Source organism: Homo sapiens, chromosome 2 (assembly GCF_000001405.40).
Source record: "Homo sapiens chromosome 2, GRCh38.p14 Primary Assembly".
Classification (NCBI taxonomy): Eukaryota; Metazoa; Chordata; class Mammalia; order Primates; family Hominidae; genus Homo; species Homo sapiens.
In genome coordinates, this window is record NC_000002.12 from 8,973,004 (window position 1) to 8,995,518 (window position 22,515).

General features: G+C 39.2%; 1 protein-coding gene and 1 non-coding gene across 14 annotated transcripts in view; one reads left to right on the top strand and one right to left on the bottom strand.

The window, feature by feature from the left end:
• Window positions 1-22,515, bottom strand: part of MBOAT2 (membrane bound glycerophospholipid O-acyltransferase 2) — a 150,995-nt gene that overhangs the window by 120,314 nt on the left and 8,166 nt on the right. For 2 of the 13 annotated variants that reach the window (NR_135603.2, NM_001321267.2), the window contains exon 2: window positions 1,356-1,432. The exons of the other annotated variants lie outside the window; for them this stretch is intronic. The gene's annotated coding sequence lies outside the window, so the exon portion shown is untranslated. The remainder of the gene's footprint in view (window positions 1-1,355; window positions 1,433-22,515) is intronic. 13 annotated transcript variants of the gene reach the window in all.
• On the top strand, window positions 5,892-5,996 carry LOC124906167 (small nucleolar RNA U13). Its single transcript, XR_007088755.1, has one exon. It is a non-coding gene; the product is annotated as a small nucleolar RNA U13 (small nucleolar RNA).

Below are 22,515 nucleotides of genomic sequence, written 5' to 3' on the forward strand. Positions count from 1 at the left end.
CCATCCCATTACTGGGTATATACCCAAAGGATTATAAATCATGCTGTTATAAAGATAAATGCACACATATTTTTACTGTGGCACTATTCACAATAGCAAAGACTTGGAACCAACCTAAATATCCATCAATGATAGACTGGATTAAGAAAATGTGGCACATATACACCATGGAATACTATGCAGCCATAAAAAAGGATGAGTTCATGTCCTTTGTGGGGACATGGATGAAGCTGGAAACCATCGTTCTCAGCAAACTATCACAGGGATAAAAAACCAAACACTGCATGTTCTCACTCATTGGTGGGAACTGAACAATGAGAACACTTGGACACAGGAAGGGGAACATCACACACCGGGGCCTGTCGTGGGGTGGGGGGAGGGGGGAGGGATAGCATTAGGAGATATACCTAATGTAAATGCCGAGTTAATGGGTGCAGCACACCGACATGGCACATGTATACATATGTAACAAACCTGCACATTGTGCACATGTACCCTAGAACTTAAAGTATAATAAAAATAAATAAATAAATAAAAGTAACTCAAGCTAAAAAAAAAAAAAAGCAACAATATAAGTCATATCACCAAGAGCTAATTTCTTTAATCTATCGGAAGCTCCCACATATCAATAATAAAAACAGTATAATAGAAAAGTAGGCAGAGCATAGGCACAGTCAGGTCTCAGAAAAAGAATCACAAATGATTCATTCCTAAGAAAAGATGCCCAAACCCTATAATACAAGAAACGGAAATTAAAATCAAAGTAAAATAACATTTTCATCTATCAGATAGACTTCAGCAGTATTCTGTACTGTCAAGTGTATAAGGAAACAGGCACACTAAACATTGTTGGTGGAAGTATTTAATATATACTGACATAACGTTAATAGTGAACAATTTGGAAATAGGGAAGACGATGTATTTACATTTATAAACATGTACTGCAGCACAGTGATAATATCAAAATTGGAAAAGACAGAGACTACTAAAGCATGGTACATGAAGTGAATGGAATGAATGCTCTCTAGCCATCACAAAGAATGAGGCAGCCCTGTACCAAGTACCAAGTACTAAGATGAAATGATCTTTTAGATACCCCATAGCAGTATACTTTCTCCTTGCTAAAAGAACCCAGATGTTGTTCAGTAACCAGACCAGGCAGTCATGTGTTTTAAGAAAAGCTAGACTCTTCACTAGTCTCATGGGATGAATAGTGACTGGTCTCAGCCAATCATCACCAACAACTAATTCTGGGAATGTAACTGTGCTGCAATTCTGTTCAATGAGAAATATGGCTAGGGATTACTGGGAAAGTCTTCCTCACTCTTAAAAAGGGATACAACAAAGATACTTGCTTTTCGCCTGTGGACTCTGCCAGGTACGTGAGACACACGGAAGGGGAAAGACACCCGGGAATCATGTGGCGGGCAGCCTAGGAGAAATAAATAAGAAAGCAGAACAGAAAGATTAAAGAACCCAGGCCTTGATGAGGTTGCTGAGCCACTGAATTAACCAATCCAGAAAGCATGCTATCTCTGTATTTCCAAGAGGTAACAGACGTCTCCAGCGGAATATCTCTGGAAGGATACCCAGTAACTGGAAACAATGGCAGCCTCTGAGGGTGGAGGATGTGGTAAAAGTGAGACTTATTTTTTCATTATGTACCTATCTCCCTTGATATTTCATGGGCATTTATTATCTACTCCCAAATAGATGATTTTTTAAAATAATACATGCTTGCTTTCAAATTTCCAAACAAGAAGCTAAGCACCAAAATTTAAGATAGTAATTACCTCATCTCCCTATACTGAATCTGCTCGTTTCATCCCACTAAATTTTATGCAATGGCAACCACACCTTAAAGGATGCAAGCATTTTCATCCTAGGCATTTCTAGGCCATTGCCACAGAAAAAGCACTTTTTCCAAGCATAATGTAAGCAGAAAGTTGGCTCTACCACTTAGAGCCAACTTTAGTAAGGTAATGGAGAATATCTAATCCAAAAGTATAGCCTCCTCACAAACAATGAAGATGAATTCAAAGCTACCAACTGGGGAAAGTGCTTTCTATAAACCAACACAAAAATCTACAGATTACCTAGAAAGAATAACACTCTGCACAAAACTCAAACTGAAAACATCCAAAAACTGAATTATTTACTGCACTTGTACCTGACCAATGCCACCATCTTACCAAATCTGCCTCGTTTCCTCCTGGATCTCCTATTTTACTTAATGGGGTCACTTCTACCCACCTCTTCAACCTAGAAAGTAGAACCTTTATTCATACTTTTTGGGATCCCAAAATACTTTTAAAGTAATTTCTGTACGTGCTTATATTAAACCGTCACTCACTGGCCTGTGAGTCTGACTTTCCTTTTTGATTGTGAGCTTCTGATGGCTTGGGAACAAATTTTATTCATCTATGCATTACTACCAATCCCTGAGTGGAAGGCCTGGCTCTATCTGTGCCTTTCATTCACTGAAAGGAAAATGGGGATGAGCACGTGGGGGCAAGAATCATGCCTCAAGAGTTTGCTTAAAATCAAGGGGAGCAGACTAATACAACAGCTCATATTTATCTTCCATCTTTCCTAAAGGGAAACATTAATTGCTACAACTAGAAACTTTATAACCACAAATGTAAAATAAATACATGAAGCGTAAGGACACATTCTATCAACATTCTGTAAACACTTCTTGTATAGGTACAATGGATGAACACCACAGCCATGGTTGTCCCCGCACTCACAAAACTTACAGGCCAGTAAAAGAGGACAATTAAATGAACAATACAAAAAAAAAAAAAAAAACGATGGCCACTAAGTCTTATGTTAGGCAGAGAAATAGCATCATGAGAACACAAAGTAGAGAGATTTATTTGGCATGCCTCTCTTAAGACTCTTTCTTATCTCCTGAATTATATGGCCACTGCCCATTCTAATTCCACCTACACCAAATACACTGGGTTCAGCCAGCAAGAAGCCCTGTTCTGCAGGACAAGCCTGTACATCAGACACAACATCCTCTCCTCTTCCTCCCCAGACAACAGCACAGAGAACTGCCAATCTACAGCCCAGACATCCATATGTTGTTAAAAACAGCCAGACTCCCAAAGGTTGATTAACTCACAAATCCCTAAATATATTCTCAGACCATCATACAAACCAAAAAGCAGTGAGTTTTCCCAAATGCATGGAAACAGAAGCAGAAAGCGAGCGATTTAATCAAGGCACCACAGAGATTAAAGGTAGGCACCTACCTACCAGGCTAATAATGAGTGCTTGTCTCATTTTGATCTCTGTCTTAACCAACTATAAAAAATTCCTATGAACTGAGAAGGAATTTATTTACACTCTCCTATGAAATTAAAAGGTACTAGATTAACTGCATCCACAACTGCTTAACTATGAAGCCTAAGGAAGGGTTAAACTATGAAGCTTCAGTAGGCGACCTACTGAAATAAATACAAGCCAGATAAAAAATAAGTAAGGCTCAACAACATACACACATCCCAAAGCATCACACAGAACACAGACGCACAGAAAGGATGGGCCTGCTTCCTCTCCAAACACTGTCAAGCTTGCTCTGACAAATGAGAAGCCAAGCAGCCCATCCCTGAACAGGAAGAAGGGGGATGAATACCAGAACAAGGAAACCCTTCCATAAAGCGCGTTCAGAGCGTGTCTCCCTGTGTGTGCACATCGACACGTTTAATCTCTTAGGTGGTTACAAATAATACCAGCAAATCAGAAGACCTGCTGAAAGGAAAAAGAAAGTAGTCTAACTTCATAATGACTGCACAAGTGAATCTGGTATAGTCATACAATAGGATATTACTTACTTAGCAATAAAAAGGAATGAACTATTGACACAGACAACAGCATGGATGAATCTCAAAATAATTATGTGGAGTCCAAGAAGCCAGAAAGAGAGAAGAGTGCCTACTATATGATTCTATTTAGATGAATTTCTAGAAAACCCAAACTAATCTATAGTGACAAAAAGCTTATCAGTGGTTGCCTGGGGATGGAGGCCAGGGAGAGGCAGGAGGGAGACGGTACTGAAGGGCACAAGGAAACTGTTGGGGTGTCAGATATGTCTATCATCTTTATTCTGGTAACAGCCTTATGGGTGGATACCTATGTCAAAACACCAAATTTTACACTTTTACTATGTACAGCTTTGGTGTCACTTATACCTCAATAAAGCTGTTTAAATTTTTTTTTAATAAAAATAAGTTCACATTGACCACCACTGGGTTCAACTGAAAACCTTGCAATGTGATTGAGATTACTTTCCCTCTCAGAAGGGTATTTCATTGAAGTTACATATCACACTTTGTGGACAAGCAATTGTGGAATGAATACAGATGTGGAATACTGAAATGTCTGTATTTCTTCCCCATTCATCCTTTCAATGGCTTAAAAGAAGCTAGAGCATTTTAGAGAAAATTCTCATCACTTCAAGTTTCTTACAAAGGCTCTTAGAACTCGATGAACATCTAATTTTTGGAAAGGAGGACCTTAAAGACCATCCTGTCCAACTTTCTCAGTTTAAGGAAGTAAACTGCAGAGCCCACTCCCTAATGGGGAGTTCATCCAGTCCTATATGGCTCTGAAGTGAGCTCTATGTTGCTGACACCTTCCTCTGTCATTTTAGTCTTGACCTCTCTGATGAACTTCAGACATTTATTCGGCTGTCCATTAAACTATCTCACTTGACTATCTAATGAGTATCTAAAATTTACTGTGGCCACAAGGGAACTGCTGATTCCCCTCACCACCAACTTCTCCTCCAAGTTGACCCATGTGAGTAACTGCACCATCACACTTCAACCAAAACCTTGCAATCAACCTCTGACTGCTCATCTCCTGCCCTCCACAAGGAATCCATGCTTCAGTTCCTTAGCTCTATCTTCAAAGCACATCACAAAGCTGGCCCGGACTCTGTCTCCACGGCTGCGATGGCTTCTTATCTGGACAATAGCTCTTTAAGGTCCCCATTTCCTCTCCTGCCTCTACCAGTCAGTCCCTACACAGCAGCCACAGACATGAGGCCACCAATACCCAGACCCTAAAACATTCTACAGACTGCCATGATTAAAATAAAATCTCCGCTCCTTACTCTGCCCTGAAAGACCAAGGCCCCTTCCACCTCTCCAGCCTCATCTCGCACTGTTTCTCTCACTGGCTATATTCCAATATATTGACCGTCTCCAACACACTCAACTCACTTCCACCCCAAAGCTGACACTTCCCCACCTCCACACATGGAATGCACACAGATGTTTCACCATTCACAACTCAAATAACATCTTCCAAAGCTTCACAGACCTTACAATCTAAAGAAGCATCCCCAATCACTTGTCATGGACCCCATGTTACTGACTTTATGGTATTTTTCATTATATAAAATGATCTTGTAAACAATTTTACTTATTTATTATATTTGCTAATAAAATTTATCTGTTCACTCATTCATTCCTGCTATGACCATCAGAAGCATTAGCCCAAATAAGAACTGTGATCCTTTCCTAATTTAACTTGAAAGCATTCCTCTCCAAGTGCCTAGGTCTATGGGGTAAAAGGCATCCACCTGAGTTGAGTAATGAGAACACATAGACACAGGGAGGGGAAAAACACACACTGGGGCCAGTCAGGGGGTGGGGAGTGAGCGGAGAGAGAGCATTAGGACAAATAGCTAATGCATCGGAGCCTAAAACCTAAATGACGGGTTGACAGGTGCAGCAAACTACCATGGCACACGTATACCTATGTAACAAACCCGCACATTCTGCACTTGTATCCCAGAACTTACAGTAAAATAAAAATTAAAAAAGCACCCATCTTAAAAAAAAAAGGTGGTGGGGGGAGGCAGGGGTCTATTTTGAATCCTTTTTTAATTCCTAAGTGTGATGACTGGGTTTCCACACTCATGTGTGAGATGTGCTTTCCTCAAACCTTTTTTACAACATCAGCACACTACCTATCTGTTATTTAAAAATAAAGGTCAATTTCAACAGTGCTACTAATTTTCAAGTCTTCAAATTATGCTTCTAAAGAACAAAAAAACTCCTCTACTGGCCTGCCTCATTATCATCAGATTTCCATTAGATACAATGTCAGCTTATCAACTTATGGATATGTTGACTTGATTTTGAAATTATACTGCTTCCCACTAAAATAGTACACTTTTCAAGAAGGATCAGGTCAATATAAAAAGTACTAACTTTTAATGATTAGATTGGGATCAGTGGTATCTTGCCTTTGGGATATTTAACCAATAATCACTTACATAATACACTATCTAAATGAACCAATTTAGGCATTTTTAATTTATTTTTCTTTTTTAGAGTTTTAAAGTTTCCAGACATTGCTACCAAAGAAAATCGCAATAGATTATTTTGCCTCAATGTCACACATGATGAATGATTTTCTAGGAAATCGTTAAAATAATCACTGGGATGTGCATTTTATAAGGACCGTGATTCTTATCTGTTTTGTTCATTGTATCCCCCAGCACCTAGTCCCACCACATTTATCAGCTTAACAAGTATGTGTTGTTAAGATACTTGCAAGCTCATGTTTCCTTTTATTTTATGCAGATCATTGTATTATTCCAAATTTAGGGGGTACTGCCAATATGTGTAATCTCTTCTTGCTATTGCTTGATGCCATTATAATATTAAGCATGAGTTTAACAGCAATTCTAAATCACACGTTTTTGACTTCCAAACTATACAGCGACATGTGGCAAATCGATGGCAAGAGATCAACATAGATTCTTACATAAGGTGTGATCAACAAAGATTCTTTCATGTTGTGCTGACAACGCAAGACTCAACATGGAGTCCTGATACGCAGACTCCACTACTAATACGCCTAACAATAGTGTCTCTTTAGGGCTAGGGAGAAAGCCGCAGATGGAAAACCATCTGTGCATCCCAGACTATGGACTGCCAGAATATCACATTTTATACCAACCCCAAGGTGAATGTTAAATAGCCCTACACAGCTGATAAAGGTCACCATAATTAAGTAGTCAAAGGCAGCAATTGTGAATCATAGAAAAGTAGCTCAGTTTTGGTATGCTGCAAGTAATTTATACAAATGAAAATTAAAGTAGTCAAGTTTGTGAACAATTTAATAAAGATTATTCCTGAAATATTACTCTTGCCCTCACATTTCTAAGAAAAACAGCAGTAGAGATGCAACTAGGTTGTGGGAACTACATATAACACAGTGAACACAGTGGGAATGTGTGCCACAGGAATGCACCTACCACATCACAGCAGGCTGACAACAGCGGATCTGAGGCAAGCAACTCAACACCACCCAATCAACCCTAAAGACAAATCCCTGTTCTAGCCCTGACCAAGTAACCTCTGGCATTTACAACCTCTTTATACCATAGTTTCTTAATAAGAAAATAAGAATAATCCCTATCTGCACTTGTAGATTATGAGGTTTATAAAGAAAAAGAAAAACAAGCAAACATCCACTTCTGGTCCTTTGAGTGACATGGTCTGCCTACCTGGCCACCTAGACTGAGGTGGAAAAGGTTCAGAGCCCACTGGGAGAGGTCCAATACAAGGCAACAAAAACAAGTAAACAGGCAACTGTTCAAAAAACAAAACAACCTTTTTATAAAATATTATGCACTATACCACTTCACATCCACCAAGATGCCTACAATCAAAAAGATCGTTAAGTGTTGACAAGAATGTGGAGAAGCTGGAACTCCCACACACTGCTGATGGGAATATAAAATAGTACAACCACTTTGGAAAACAGTTCCTCAAAATGTGAGACATGGTTATCATATGATCCAGCAATTCCACTCCTAGGTATATACACAAGATAACTGAAAACTTAAATCTACACAAAAACTTCTACAAAAATGTTCACAGCAGCATTATTCATAATAGCCAAAATGTGAAAACACCCTAAATGTCCATCAACAGATGCATAAATAAAATGTGGCATATCCATATAATGAAATATTATTTGGCAATAAAAAATGCACACTGATATGCAAAGATAGATAAACCTTGAAAATATTATAATGAAAGAAGCCAGATACAAAAGACCACATATTGTATGATTCCACTTACACGAAACAGGCAAACCTACAGAGATCGAAAGTAGACGAGTGGCTGCTTAGGGCTGAGGGATTTGGGGAAATGGGGAGTGACTGCTAATGGTACAAGGCTTCTTTTTGTAATGAAAATGTTCCAGGTTAGACAGCAGTGATAGTTGCATGGCTCTGAGTACATTAAAACCATTGAATTGTACACTTTAAATGGGTGAGTTGTATGGTACATGAACTGTATCTTGATAAAGCTATTAAAATATACTGTGCATTATCTTTACATAATAATTATAGCTTTCAGCCATCAAATATGTCTGATCAAGATGAAATACAGATATGCTGTCGCCCCCAACAGCCCCATTCCATGTAGTTTCACAAAGTCCTGTCACAGCCACAGGCCCCAGGAACAAAAGTCTTCCCTAGGGCATTTCTGCCAGAGCCTCAGAGAAGACGATGCTCTCCCTTCCCAGGATCACAAGTGGAGCTGGTTTCAAATGAGCTGCTTCTGTGACAGGAGTGAATGGGCCAACACTCAAAGAAAAGCAGGATGAGAGAGGGGGTAGGGCAGTGGGATAAAGAGGGAGGGGGAAACAGGAAGGACAGAGAGGAAGGGAGACAGAGATGAAGAACACAGTGTTTATTGTTGGACTATGTGTATCCAGCCATGTTGGCTAGCTGAAGTGGGTTTCTGTAATTTGCTTTAGGGGTGTCCTAATATGTTATTTCATTACAAACTATTTCCATATTTAACTGATGAACTTTCTGAAGATCTATACCCAAAACTAAATCCCAGGCCTTTTTTATTTAATAAAAAGACATATGAAACATTGGAAAGAGCACACAAAACTCAATGGTTAATGAAGACAGACAGACTTAGATCCAAATATGAGTAGTGGGCTTACCTAAGCGATGCTGGGTACATACCACTCAACTTCCCCAAACCTTAGTTACTTCTGTAAAGTGGAAGCGAGCCCAGGTTTGGTTTCCTCTCAGATAGGCTGCTGTCCGGATTAAGCGAGATAACCCATGGCAGGGTCTCAATACAGTACCTGGCACATGAAAACGCTAATGTATGACCCACCATTATTAGCAGTCAACTCGTGATTTACCACAGACATATTTACAGCATAGGAAAGTTTTGTTTTAGAGCAAAGATAGTCTGAGTAAGACGAGTAGGTAAGACCTGGAGAAAGCTGTACTACACTTCACAAAAAAATATTTCTCATTCACTTGGAAAGCATTATTCTTAAGGTATGTTAGAAACTAAACTTAACAATGATAAACACAACAGCCAGAACCAAAAATGCTAATTCATAAAAATCAATTCTAGTTCTTCGCGAACCTTGTCCAATATATACTTTGGTCAGAGTAACTTCTTCTTAGCCTTCCGTCTGTAATCACTTTTGGAAACCACTCCTCACTTGCAAACAGTCAGCTCTAGACAACTGTTTAGATTGCTAAGCTTTCTTTGCTTCTATGACACTGCGTACTGTTGCACCCACCTTGGAGAATTCCCTCCATCCATCTACTTCCAGTGGATATCACTAACTTAGCTCAGATGTAAGATCTCCCCAAAAGTGACCATGCAATCAACCCACCTCTGAGTTTATTCATTCATTCAACAAAGATTTAGTGAGACACCTACTATATGCCAGGTACTGTACCAGGTGCTAGAGATGCAGAGGAGAATAAAACAGGTACCTCTTTTCTGTGTTCTCATAAGGACCTGTTCCTTCCTCATCAGAACACAAACCACTCTGATTCCCAATTTCCTAATTACTTTTCCATAACCCCTCAGAGACTCTAAGCAACCTGGGGGCAGGGACCATAGCGGATCTGATTTTCACTGTATCACACTGTTTTGAATAATAAGTCATGGAAAAAAATTGAAATAGAACAAGGTGTGTGCACAGAATAGCCACAATACAACTATCCGCAGTCAGAGAGACTCATGCATAGCAAATTCTGAAGTGTGTAAAGCCACAGACTTTACAGGTCACTGAGACTCCCATCTGTGCAGAATACAGCCTGCCACTGAGGTCCTGGCTGCATCTAGAGCTTGATCCAAATTATATGATACAGATATGAAATCATATGATACAGATGTAAAATACATATTTTCACAAATACATATTGTATTTTCATTACAAATATATCTAAAGTAAGGAAGAATAAAACTGCACACAGATTAGCTAAAATGGAAATTTCTTAGGTGAAATGCACCAATTCCATACTCGAACTACTATAACTCACCCAATATGAAACAGATAATTTAAACAGCCCTGTAACTGTTAACGAAACACTTTGGAATTTAAAATCTAGAAAAAAACATCTCTAGGCCCAGATGGTTTTACTGGAGAATTCTATCAAATGTTTAAAAAAGAATTAATACCAGTTTTACACAGTCCCTTCCAGAAAACAGAAGAGGAAGGAATATTTCTCAATTCAATAAAGGGAGTGTTCCAGACTTAAGGAGACTAAAGAGACATGCGAACTAAATGCAACCTATGATTCCAAACTGGACCCTGTTGCTAAAAAGGACTTGATGTGATAACTGGTAAAACTTTAAGTCTGAAGATTGGATGATAGAAATTTACTACTTTCCTAATTTTGATGGTCATTTTGAGATTACACAGAAGAATGTCCTTTTTTGTAGGAAATATCACAAAAGTATCCAGAAGTGATGGAGCAGTGAGTCAGCAACTTACTCTCAAATGGTTCAGGAAAACATTCTCTAAATTGTACTTGGAACTTTTCTGTGAATTTAATATTGTTTTAAAATAAAGAAAAATTATTTCTGAAAAAGATAATATAGGAAGATATCTTTACAATCAATCTCAGCATACAGAAGACTTTCCTAAACTAGGTACAAAAATATCACAAATCATGAATAAAATGTTACAATTTCAATCACATGGAAATTAAGAACTATGAATAGAATATTATTTAGCTTTTACAAGGAAAGAAATTCTGACTTTTATGAGGTCCCATAACATACCTCACATGTGAAAACATAAATGAACCTTGAAAACATATGCTAAGTGAAATTAAACCAGTCACAAAAAGACAAACACTATAGGTTTCCACTTACACGAAGTATCTAGAACAGTCAACTTCACAGAAACAAAAGGCCAGGGGTTGGGGTGAGGGGAAAATAGGGAGTTGCTTAATGAATATGCAGCTTCAGTTCTGCAAAATGAAAAAGTTCTGGGGATCTACTGCTCAACACTGTGAATATACTTATCACTACTGAGCTGTGTGCACTTAAAGATGGTTACGATGGCAAATTTCATGTTTATTACCACATACATACATACGTTTGTGGTTAACACTACGAAGAAAGCAAGGAAATGATTAACACAATATTCCAGAAGTCATTCCTCTCTGGGATGGGGTCTAGAAAGGGCATGCAGGGAGCTTAAAAGGGTGTTCCTTAAGTGGGAGCGCAAGTGGCTTTCATCATCCTCTAAAAGCATACATTCTCTTGCAAATCTAATTTCCCAAATCAACTCCCCAGAAAAGGGAGGATGTACTAGTACAGAAAGCTCTAAAAATAAATAAAGAACTAGGGGGGAGGGAAGGGAAGAGAAAAAACCATAAATTCTTCCAATATTATTAACTTAAAATTCTCTTTTCTGAATAATAATCAATTTCCACAACAACTTAAAGTTATAAGTGGTATTGGCCAAATTTTATTTAATTTTACATAACTACCTTTTAAATAGGGAGCCAAATAATATCAATCCTTCAGCCTCCCTATCTTCATTACCAAAACAGGAGGAGTCAGACAGGAAAGCCAGTCGCCCCCAATGGTCTGAACAAGGGGAAGCAGAAAGAGGGGCTGAGGGCCAGTGTTCTCCTGGAGAAAGAGAAAGAAAAGCTGGCGGCTACACAGAATGCAGCTTGTTCAGAGGCCTCCCACTCCTGACTAGTTTCCCTCTAAGAAAAAAATGTAAGGCTCAAAATATATGCATATAGTTCCTCAGGGGAAAAAAAAAACTAAAATGTCTAGTTCCTTTTCTCAACGGCTTTAAGATATGCAAATCAAATTCTTCATCTTCCACTGCTCAACTGGCTATATTAGCTGAGAGTTAGGTCAGACACAGACAGGTCACACTGATGCTGATTGAAAAATGATCTACCTTTTACCGTTTTTTCACAATGCTTTCAGGGGAAAAGAAAGTTTGATTTAAATTTTTTTCATCATTCGAATCAAATTACCACAGGTTCTTTATTCTATCAAACTAACTTCTTATTCTGAAAATACATGGAATTCTTTAAAGATAAAATGTGTGACCCCCAAATAGAATATTGAGACCTAATCTATACCGGAACTCCAGACTCACATCTTCAATGGTCTACATGTTTATACCTCAAAGTCTAACAAACATCTGAAACTTAACACAGCCCAAAGGAAAACCTTTCATATCCACCCTTCCCATGCTCCAAAAGCCACTTCTTTTCCAGTCCTCCCCGCCCTGTCCCCTAGCTTCCCATAATTATCTGCCCTAGCTGCTTAGGCCAAAAACTTAGGAAGCGTCATCCTTCAGTCTTCTCTTTTTCTCATAACCACATTCAATCCACCAGTAAGTCATATCAGTTCTACCTTCAAGTATATGCCAAATGAGGCCACTCTGCACCACACCCGCCATGACCACCATCACCGAGCCTAGACTACTGTGACCACAAGCCAACTCCCCTCCCTGATTCAACTCTTGCCCTCCACACAGTAATGAGAGCTTCTTCAGAGGTAAACCAGAGTAGCTAATTCCTCTATTCAAAGCATCCACAGCTTACCCCTATGCATAGGCTGCTCAGAATGGCTTCTTCCAAAGAATGCAATATGGAAAGTGGGAGTAAAAAGAGAAACTTTACAGTGGAGAAATCTGACAGACACTGCCTCAGCCAGGTGATCAAATTAACATCAAGAGTGATCAGTCACACTCAAAGTACATACCCTTGGAATGATGTGATGAAAACAACACTTCATCTTTGTGGTCTTCCTCTCAAACACCCATAAGCACAGACTCATGAGAAAAACATTCAATAAATCCCACTGGAGAGATTCTACAAAATCCATGACCAGTTATCCTCAAAGCAGACAAGGTCACCAAAAAAAAAAAAAAAAAAAAGTAAAGTCTAAGAAACTGCCTCAGTCTGGAGGAAGCTAAGGAGACACAATGACTAAATGTAATATGGGCCAGGCATGGTGGCTCATATCTATAATCCCAGCACTTTGGGAGGCTGAGGCAGGCTGATCACTTGCGAGACCAGCCTGGGCAACATAGTGAAATCCCCTCTCTCCAAAAAATACAAAATTAGCCGTGCCTGGTGGCGCATGCCTGTAGTCCCAGCTACTCAGGAGACTGAGGTGGGAGGATCACTTAAGCCCAAGAGGTCAAGTCTGCAGTGAGCCGTGATCACATGACTGCACTCTAGGCTGGGGGAGACAGGGCGAGATTCTGTCTTTAAAAAAAAAAAAGTAATACGGTAGCCTGCATAAGATCCAGGAACACAAAAGGACTCTATAGACTGAATGTCTGTTTCCCCCCAAAATTCATATGTTGAAGCCCTTACCCCAATGTGATGGCATTTGGAGATGGGGCCTTTGGAAGGTAATTTGGATTCCATGAGGTTGTGAAGGTAGGTAGGGCCCTGGCCTGACTGGATTAGTGCCCTTATAAAAAGAGACACAGAGGGCTTGCTCTCTCTTTCGCCAAGAACGCATCTAGAAAAGACCACGCGAGCACACCCCCAAGTGGTGGCTGTCTGCAAGGCAGGAAGAGAGCCCTCACCAGAACCCAACCATGCTGGCACCTGGATCTCAGACTTACAGCCTCTGGATCTGCGAGAAAATAAATTTCTGTTGTTTAATCCACACAGTCTATGGTTTTTGTTATGACAGCTAACTAATACAGACCTTAACCTTAAGTAAAAACTAAAGAAATCTATCAAATAAAGTATAGAGTTTAGTCAATAATAATTATCAATACTGCTTCACCAGCTGTGACAAATGACCATACTAATGAAACATGTAAACAAGAGGAAAAACCGGATGTGGGGTATGTGGAAACTAGCTGTACTATCTTCACAACTTTCCACAAATTTAAAACTATTCTAAAATTAAAAGTATATTTTCAAAAATCTCATGGCTTCCCATCATATTTATATTATGACCAAAGTCCTCCCAGTCTTTTCTACTCAGCATCTAACACTTACACCTTGCTCACTCTGGCCTACTATGTTCACCTTTACAAGGGTTACACAGGTTATGAGTTACACAAGTGTACACATTTGTCAAAATTGGTCAAACTGCACAATTAAGATCTATGCATTTCACCATATTTAAGTTACATTCGATTAAAATTTTTTAAAAATATATGATTGCCAAATGAAAACTCTGATGACCTAAAAAGTACCCTTGAATTTGGCAGCTGAAAACACTCACATTTCTTTTGCTCTGGAATCTGGAATTTGGGCAAGGTTCAGCATGGACACCTCATTGTTTCTCTATTTGGCATCAGAGACTGGAATTATCTAAAGGCTTGCTCACTCACATGTCAGACAGTGGATGCTGGCTGTCATCTGGACTTTAGCTGGACCTGTAGGTTCAAACACCTACACAAGGCATCTTTATATGCCCTGGGATTCCTCACAACGTGGTGGCTGCGTTACAAAAATTTTATGTTCAGTATGAGCCCAATTTTGTTTGAACATACACACACACTCTAATAAAAATATATTAACAAAAGTTGTCTCTGGACTGAAGGGTAATGGGTGATTTTTAAATTTTCTATTTATACTTTTTTATTTTATAAGTTTCATATGATAAAGATGTATTACTTTCTCAATCAGATGAGAAATATACAAACTAAATTCAGTTCCCTACTAGAGTATATAACACATTACTGAAAACACAAATGAAATTAGAAATGCAAAAATGTTAAACATATTTGCATGTCATAAAAGAAGAATTAGCTCTCAAACAGCAAAAACATTATGAAGTACCTCATTTCACCTCCCTTTTTAAGGTACAGATGAACTGAACTTTGGCTTTGTCCTTGGTTAAGCCCAAATCCCCACTATTTTGCTTTGGTTTGGGTCTTGGCCTAATATCTACTTGCTGGTCATTTGTAGCATCCTTAAATTGGTGGAGGTCAGTGACCATCTGATAGCCTAAACTACCACCATTTCTGATAAGCAAAGTAACATCAAAAATACAAACAATGCATGTCATTCATATTTATTGTTACTATATGAACATCAACTTTCAAATATGTATAAACACTCTACAGTTACCTTGGGGTGTAAAGAATAAATGACTTTATATGATTTATATATTACTATTGTATCAGTTTAAATATGTTTTATTACAAAAATACAATACTATAACTGAGACTAGGGAAACAAATGAGTTAATGTGAGTATTGAGAAAGGATTCATTATATGACAACTTTTGAAAGAACATTATATCCTTTGAGCCAAATTTTTTAAGAAGTCATTAAGAGATTCGATTATTTCATAATATATTATTTGTAAGCTTGTTTAGTATGCCAACATTAAACAAAATAACCCTTAGGAGCTGTATTTGATTTTGAGTTATTTAGTTCCATTCAAATAATGAAAAACAGCCTTTTTCATGAAAAAGCTCTATTTGTGAATTCTACACATCCTGTGAGAATGAATTAAAAGGAGAACAATTAGCTCTGACATCTCAATATTGCAAGGAGAAAAAAAATCCTAAACTCATGCATAATAATATCCATAATGAATCATACACAATAAAATAAAGTATATGAAGAAAAAAGGGAAGTGTTAAAGAAAACTGGAGTATCTAAAACATGTATTGTTCTCACTAATCAAACCTGAAATTAAGTCTTAGAATGTTTTAATAAGATAGTTCCTATTGTTTTGAATCTATGGAGGGAAACAAATGTTTGCAGAAATGATTAGATGACACTGTTGATCGTTTTCAGGAGTTGAAGACAAAGAAATCTTTGAGATTTGCCTGGATAACATTCAGCTTTAACTCAATGTTGATTTTAACACTAGCATTAGACATCTGACCAAAAATATGCTTTGATGAGCCCCTATTTCAGGTAATCTTAGGTAACACATTTCCAGCACACCACCTGTGTCCTTCAGTGATGCTCCTTTGTCACACCTGACACCCATCAGCCCGTTAACGTCAAATGAGTCTACTGCGTCTGAAGAAATGGTATTGTGGGCATGCCTCATGGGTTCTATCATTGGCTCAACAGGATAATTTATGAGAACATGCTTATTACTAAATTAGCCATTTTACTTTCACTACATTTTAGTAAACAATAGAGGCAAAAAAAATCTTCAAATAAGTACACCAATACTGCAAAACTCTAGAGAGGACAACACTTAGAAAGTGAACTTTCAAGATACGGAGCTGTATCATCCCAGGAGAGCTAGAAATGTTCAATCATGAGCCCATGGATTTCACAGAAGACTGAGGGCTACTGATGCCTAATGTACAAATATGCAGCTGTTCATAAGCCAGCCATGTGAAAAAAGAATAGGAAGTGTCCAATTCTCTGAAAGGTAACCACGAAGAAGTGGACTTATTCAGACCACTTCTGGGTTACTCCAGAAAGTTTGCAAGCATGTAAATGACAAACTCTCTAGCAACTACAACTATCTAGAAATGAAACTGGCTGCCCTAACAAAGGGAACAAGCGCTGCACCAGAAGAAGTGTTCAAATACAATCCAGATAACCAACACCTGATAAAACTTTATTTCACACAAGCAGTTTGCACAAAAGGTGCAATGGCAGCCATGGCTGCCATTTATAGAGTACTCATTACACACTACACTCTTGTGCACACAGATAAACTCACACAGCTTGTAAGGGATGCTACGTTGCAGAACCACAACTGGAACACAGGTTGACTCCTCAATCCACGATCTTAGTCACTATAATCTAAATGTATGAAACACGTTTGTTTTTTCATTTGCTATATCATCAAACCCTGCCAACTCGACCCTCTGCTCTCTGAAATTTGAGGCCTAGGAAAAAGCCTGGCAATCAATAAATACTGAATGAGCTAGGCTGTCCCTTCTTTACACTGCAGTTTCCTTAACTAGAAGTTGCACCTTTGCTCCAGGATTCTGAGAAAATTTATACTTTCTCCTTCATTTCACAAGGGCTAAACTCCAATATCACACATTTATCAAATCTGGAGATAGAGACAAAATAGGAAAAGTAGTTTAATATTTTTATATTATTTTCTAGTGGTTCCTGCTTTCAATAAAATACAAAAAGGAAAGCAATCCAAGTCCAGCCTCTGGCATTATAGTCTTTGCTGACATGGTACTAACATCCTTTTATCTTTAATATACTATTTTACTATTAATTTCTAAGAATTTTTTAATCTACTGAAGCATTTCCTACCCAATGAAATATTCATTTAAAAATTATTTAATAGATCACTTTATAATCCTATAAAGTAAAACTCTGAGTATATGCCAAAAACCTTCTTGGAATATTTCTCCATTAATTTATATTTCTTACACCTTAAAAAGAAACTTGAATCCTTAGAAATGAATTCCTTCAATTCACATAAAAATTGCAACAATACTTAGAATTAATTTTGATTAACATATCAGAATTTCCATCCAGGTCTAATAGACAGCTGAGGCTCAATGTTTGATGCCAAGTTTACCAAAATTTTCCTTTACTATGTGGCTTTAAAAGTATTTTCCAAGAACAAAAGGTGAAGACATAACTAGTCTCATCGTACAAGAAATACACAAGGGCTATAATTACAGCACCCAAAATTATAAGCTTATACTAAGGACCCCTTAACTATCTCCAAAGATACTAAGTACTAGTTCAACAAACCTCTCCCCTGTCCTCTACCTTCATCTTCTTGGCTCTACTTGCAAACCAAAAATCTCTGTCACTGCTATTCTTGGGATATAGGTAATAAGAACAGCTGTGTCAGTCCTAGTATTAGAAAAGGCATGCTGACACTCACAGTGAAGCACACTACAGATTAAACCTAAACTCCAAAGCTGATAACTCCAGAGTTATCACAAAATAAAACATTTTGGCCAAAAATCAATATACACTTTCTAGAAAAACGAAAAACTGACAGGGACTTATCAAGACCTTTCCAAGTATTACTTTATTCCCCTCCAGCTAGACATTTATTTTAATGTCACATACCATAAAATAGCCTTGACAATGTAAACCAATTAATAATAGTAATACTGGATCTGCAAAAAGAATAAAATGATAGTAGTGTGAAATTCCAACCTTCCACTGTAATGGGGTATTAACTTTCAAGATTATTTCCAAGATGTGATCTTCTCCAAATGAAAAGAACTAGTCAGATAAAATTTGAAACTCTTTCAGCCAATTTAAGGATGAAATTACTAAACGGTGAAATATAAGAACTGTATCTTCAACTACTGCTTGACATGGTTTCCAAGCATTATGTAGTCCTCAGTGCCCTGCTCTGGTTATAATCTCATTTGTCAATGTTCCTTTTAAGTCTCAGAACACAAGTGTACTTCAGATTGGACTGAACACCACAAACTTAACAGAAACTGTTACCTAATTCCTGGTGGCCAATAAACTAAATCTAGTCTAGATGTGTTATCAGGGCTCAAAAAGAGAAAACTTAAAATTTTACCCCAAATTTTAAAAATCCTGTTTTCACAAAAAATCCAAATTTCCATCTTCCCTTGACAAATCAGCTTTGGCAGCACCAAGCGAACATTCCTTTATGGTCATCATTAGCAAAAGTGAGTAGGGGCTTTCCCTTTAGCCTGGGAATGGGCTTTCAGACGGTCATGCTGTCCACACCTCAGAAAACCCACGCATCTGCCTTTCCATTCATGTTCCTTCCCTGGTACCCTCCAGACATCTGAACTTGGAATTTATGTTGGGACTAGCTATTTCGCCTAACCTCACAATCTGGTCAGCTAAGCAACACCATACAATAAACACAAACTCCCAGGCTTGTTGATAAAATGTACTTCCGGTCTCAAGTCATTTTCTGTCTATACAATTAATTTCTAGACCTTTATTGCAGGTCTTTACATCTATCTTGAAATTTAATATTGTTAAATTAGATGCATCCAATTTTACTATTTATTGAGCACCCAGTAGATAAATGGTTTTGTAACTACTTGTTCTGTAACAGCCAGCACCTCTCTCCATTCATTCTTTTTGTTTGCTTTAATACAGATTTGAAGGTCTCGCTACATTGCCTGGGCTGATCTCAAACTCCTGGACTCAAGGGATCCTCCTGCCTTGGCCTCCCAAAGTGCTAGGATTACGGGCATGAGCTACCGTGCCCAGCCTCTCCATTGAGTTTTAACAAGTAAAGTATCACTTAGATGTTTTTCATGTATATATTGTAGTTTTAGCTATAATCTAGTTTCAAAAAGAAAATTAAAAGAACCAGAATGTTTTGTTTGTACAAGCAGGGAGCTATCTATTTTATTTTAACATATACCATACATGTATTGAACTACTTAAATATATCTAAAATTATATGTTATGTATCACCCTGACCTTCCACTAACACCTAAGTCTGGCGGAGAAAATCTCCAAAACCTGAAAAAGTTTCTATGAGATGATGGATTAAAATGGGAAGCTATGTCTTTGTCCAACGCCTAGACAGAAGCAAGGCATGCTGGTCAGAGCTTGGGACTTCCCAGAAGAATGTGGTCCACGGGGTTGGCAGCTGGCTGGTCGCCTGGCTCAGCAGAGCTTTCCCCACTCCACAGGGACACGGGTTTACCTGTTCCTTTGAGCTGCTCTGGGAGGATCTGTCAATGATTCATCTGCTGCTGCCAAAAAGCCAGGCTTCCCTGGACTGGATGGATGGCTGGAGGACATGGAGGGTGGGTGAGATATCCCAAAGGAGTCTTTCTAGAGGGCCCTACTAAAGGGACACTAAAAGTGGCAGTCCTTTGTTCTCTATCAATAAAGACAATTGTGCAACTGCAGGCTTCTTTTATCTGAATCTCTTGATTAAAATGCTCATAAAGCTTCTTTTTCCAACCACACCTGACACTGTAATCATCCAGCTGAAAATAGTGGTACCTCTCAGAATTATCTTCAATTCTTTTTGAATAATCCAGCCAAAATCCCCCAAAATTCTTCAATGCTTTGCATGTCCTCAGCCTCCTTTTAAGTAACCCATTTTAAAAAGGTTTCTATCACTCACTTCTTACCTAAGAGAGACCTGCTGCGCGGTCCTTCAGTGAGCCTAACCACTAAAGGCATCGGAATGCTCAAGACTCCACAGCAGTAAGAGGCACAGACCAGCTGCAAGAGAAAGCAGCTGCAGAGTGACCAGAAGCTGATTAGGGGAGCTCAGTCTGTGGAGAAGCTTGTTGGCCAGTGAAGTGAGTGTCCACAGATTTCCTAGCCCCTAACCTGCCTTCTACCTAGCCCAGGAGGCGTGAGTGCCAATGAAAGACAGGAAAAGTGCACAGTTCCCAGGAAAAGTCCCCTGGGAACACCCAGCATGACCCCACTAGACCCACTAGACCGCATCCCTCAGAACCTGGCCTTCCTAACTTCCTCAGCAGGACCTGGCCCTCTCTACCAGGAAGTGCTCCAAGGAGCTGCGGTGTTTTATGTCTGAAAATCACTGCATTCAACTGCAGTACCTCCGCTGTACCCTGTGTCTTGTTCACCACCTGGCATACATGAGACACTTCACTCCTTGCAAAATGGATGACAGAGAACACTCTCCTAGGCTCTGAAGAAAGTAAAGCCTTAAACAGCATGGTGCCCTCTCCAGCCCCTGGAAAAGCACTTAAAGTCAGTAACACCCAAAACGCCAGGTTCTGACTCCGTGTGCATTGTCTCCTCAGTGCTAACCACAACTCCGTAGGGAGACACCCACTACGTGAACTACTTTATAGATGAGGAAACTGAAGCAAATAAAAGATCAGCACCTTGCCAAGAGCACACAGCTAACAAGGGACAGTCAGAAGCTGAGCCAGTCTATGCTTTCATCACACCAGCCCTGCGGACTCTAAACATGCTCCGTGCCAAGAATGGTCCTAGGCAGACGGGACACAAAGATGAGTAAGTGGAGGTCCTTATTCTTAAGGAATTTAGTTTGGGAGGGAGACTTGTAAAGCAAACAAAAAAAAAATCAATGCTCCAGGTGTTATCAGAGTAGAATACAGTGAAAGCGGGGCATGATGGGACTGTTCGGAGGGCCCTAACCAACAGGGCAGCCCAGGCATTCTCTCGCAGCACTGCTTCCTGGAGTTGGAGGGGTACTCACATATGACAAGAAGGCAGTGGAGAGGGGCGAGGACCCCGCATGGGATCTTGCCATTAACTCCTTCCTAAGAAAGAACTGGATGACACTGGGCTTCTGCTGTACAGAAACAGGACAGGCTGGTTAGTCCAGAGCAAAGGAGAGAGGCAGATCAGGAATACCAGGGGCCTCTCTTCTCTCGGTCCTTCTCCAGAACACTGGCCTCATGACATAAATGCTGCATGGGATGCGAGACAGCTGTGTGAAGAGGTCCCAAGTCATGGGTCCACCTGGAATGCCTGCAGCCTGAGGCAGAAGAATTACAAATACTTAGGGCATGTAGGTGTAGCATGCACGAACATATCATGCATGCAAGATACCCAAAAAGGGAGGAAAGGATGGGGCAAATCTTAAAACGCTTCATCAAGGAGGCATAGGCTTTAGCTGACTATTGAAAAATACGGATCTGCCAAGCCAAAAAGTGTAGCAGGGATTTCAAGAGGAAACAGCTTAATCAAAGGCAAGGAGTTAAAAGAGAGAAAATGTATTGAGGAGCATTTTAAGTAATTGAGTATGCAAGTACTTTAAGCAGCAGAAAGCCAGGATTTAAATTCCAGCTCGCCACATACGTTGCTCTAAGCAATTTACTCGGCATGTGTGGAAAGAGTGTGAGAGTTTGTCAGGGGTCGGGGGTTGAATAAGCCATCCTTCTGAGGGTCCAAGCCTACCCCATCAGACAGAGACTTTCAAAGGTAAGCTCACAGTAAGAACAGAACTGCCACATAATCCGGCAATCTCACTACTGGTTGCAGTGAGCCGAGATTGAGCCACTGCACTCCAGCCTATCTCAATCAATCAATCAATACAATTTTTAAAGGAGAGAAAAAAAAATCACATGGAGCAGGCTCTCTCACAGAGTAGGCCAAAAGGGACACTTGGCTCAGGCCTCCCATTCCGGAAGGACCCCAAATGTAGACGTTCAACATTTTCTACATATGAGATTATACATACAGTCACCAGAGATGCAGTGACAGGACTGAAGGGAGATGTGTACACCATCCAACTTTAATATTGTCTTGTTTCAGGGCCAAATTGCCTAGAGTAGAGTACACAGTGAATTTTATTTTTCCCTTGTGACTATATTGTCAATAGCACAA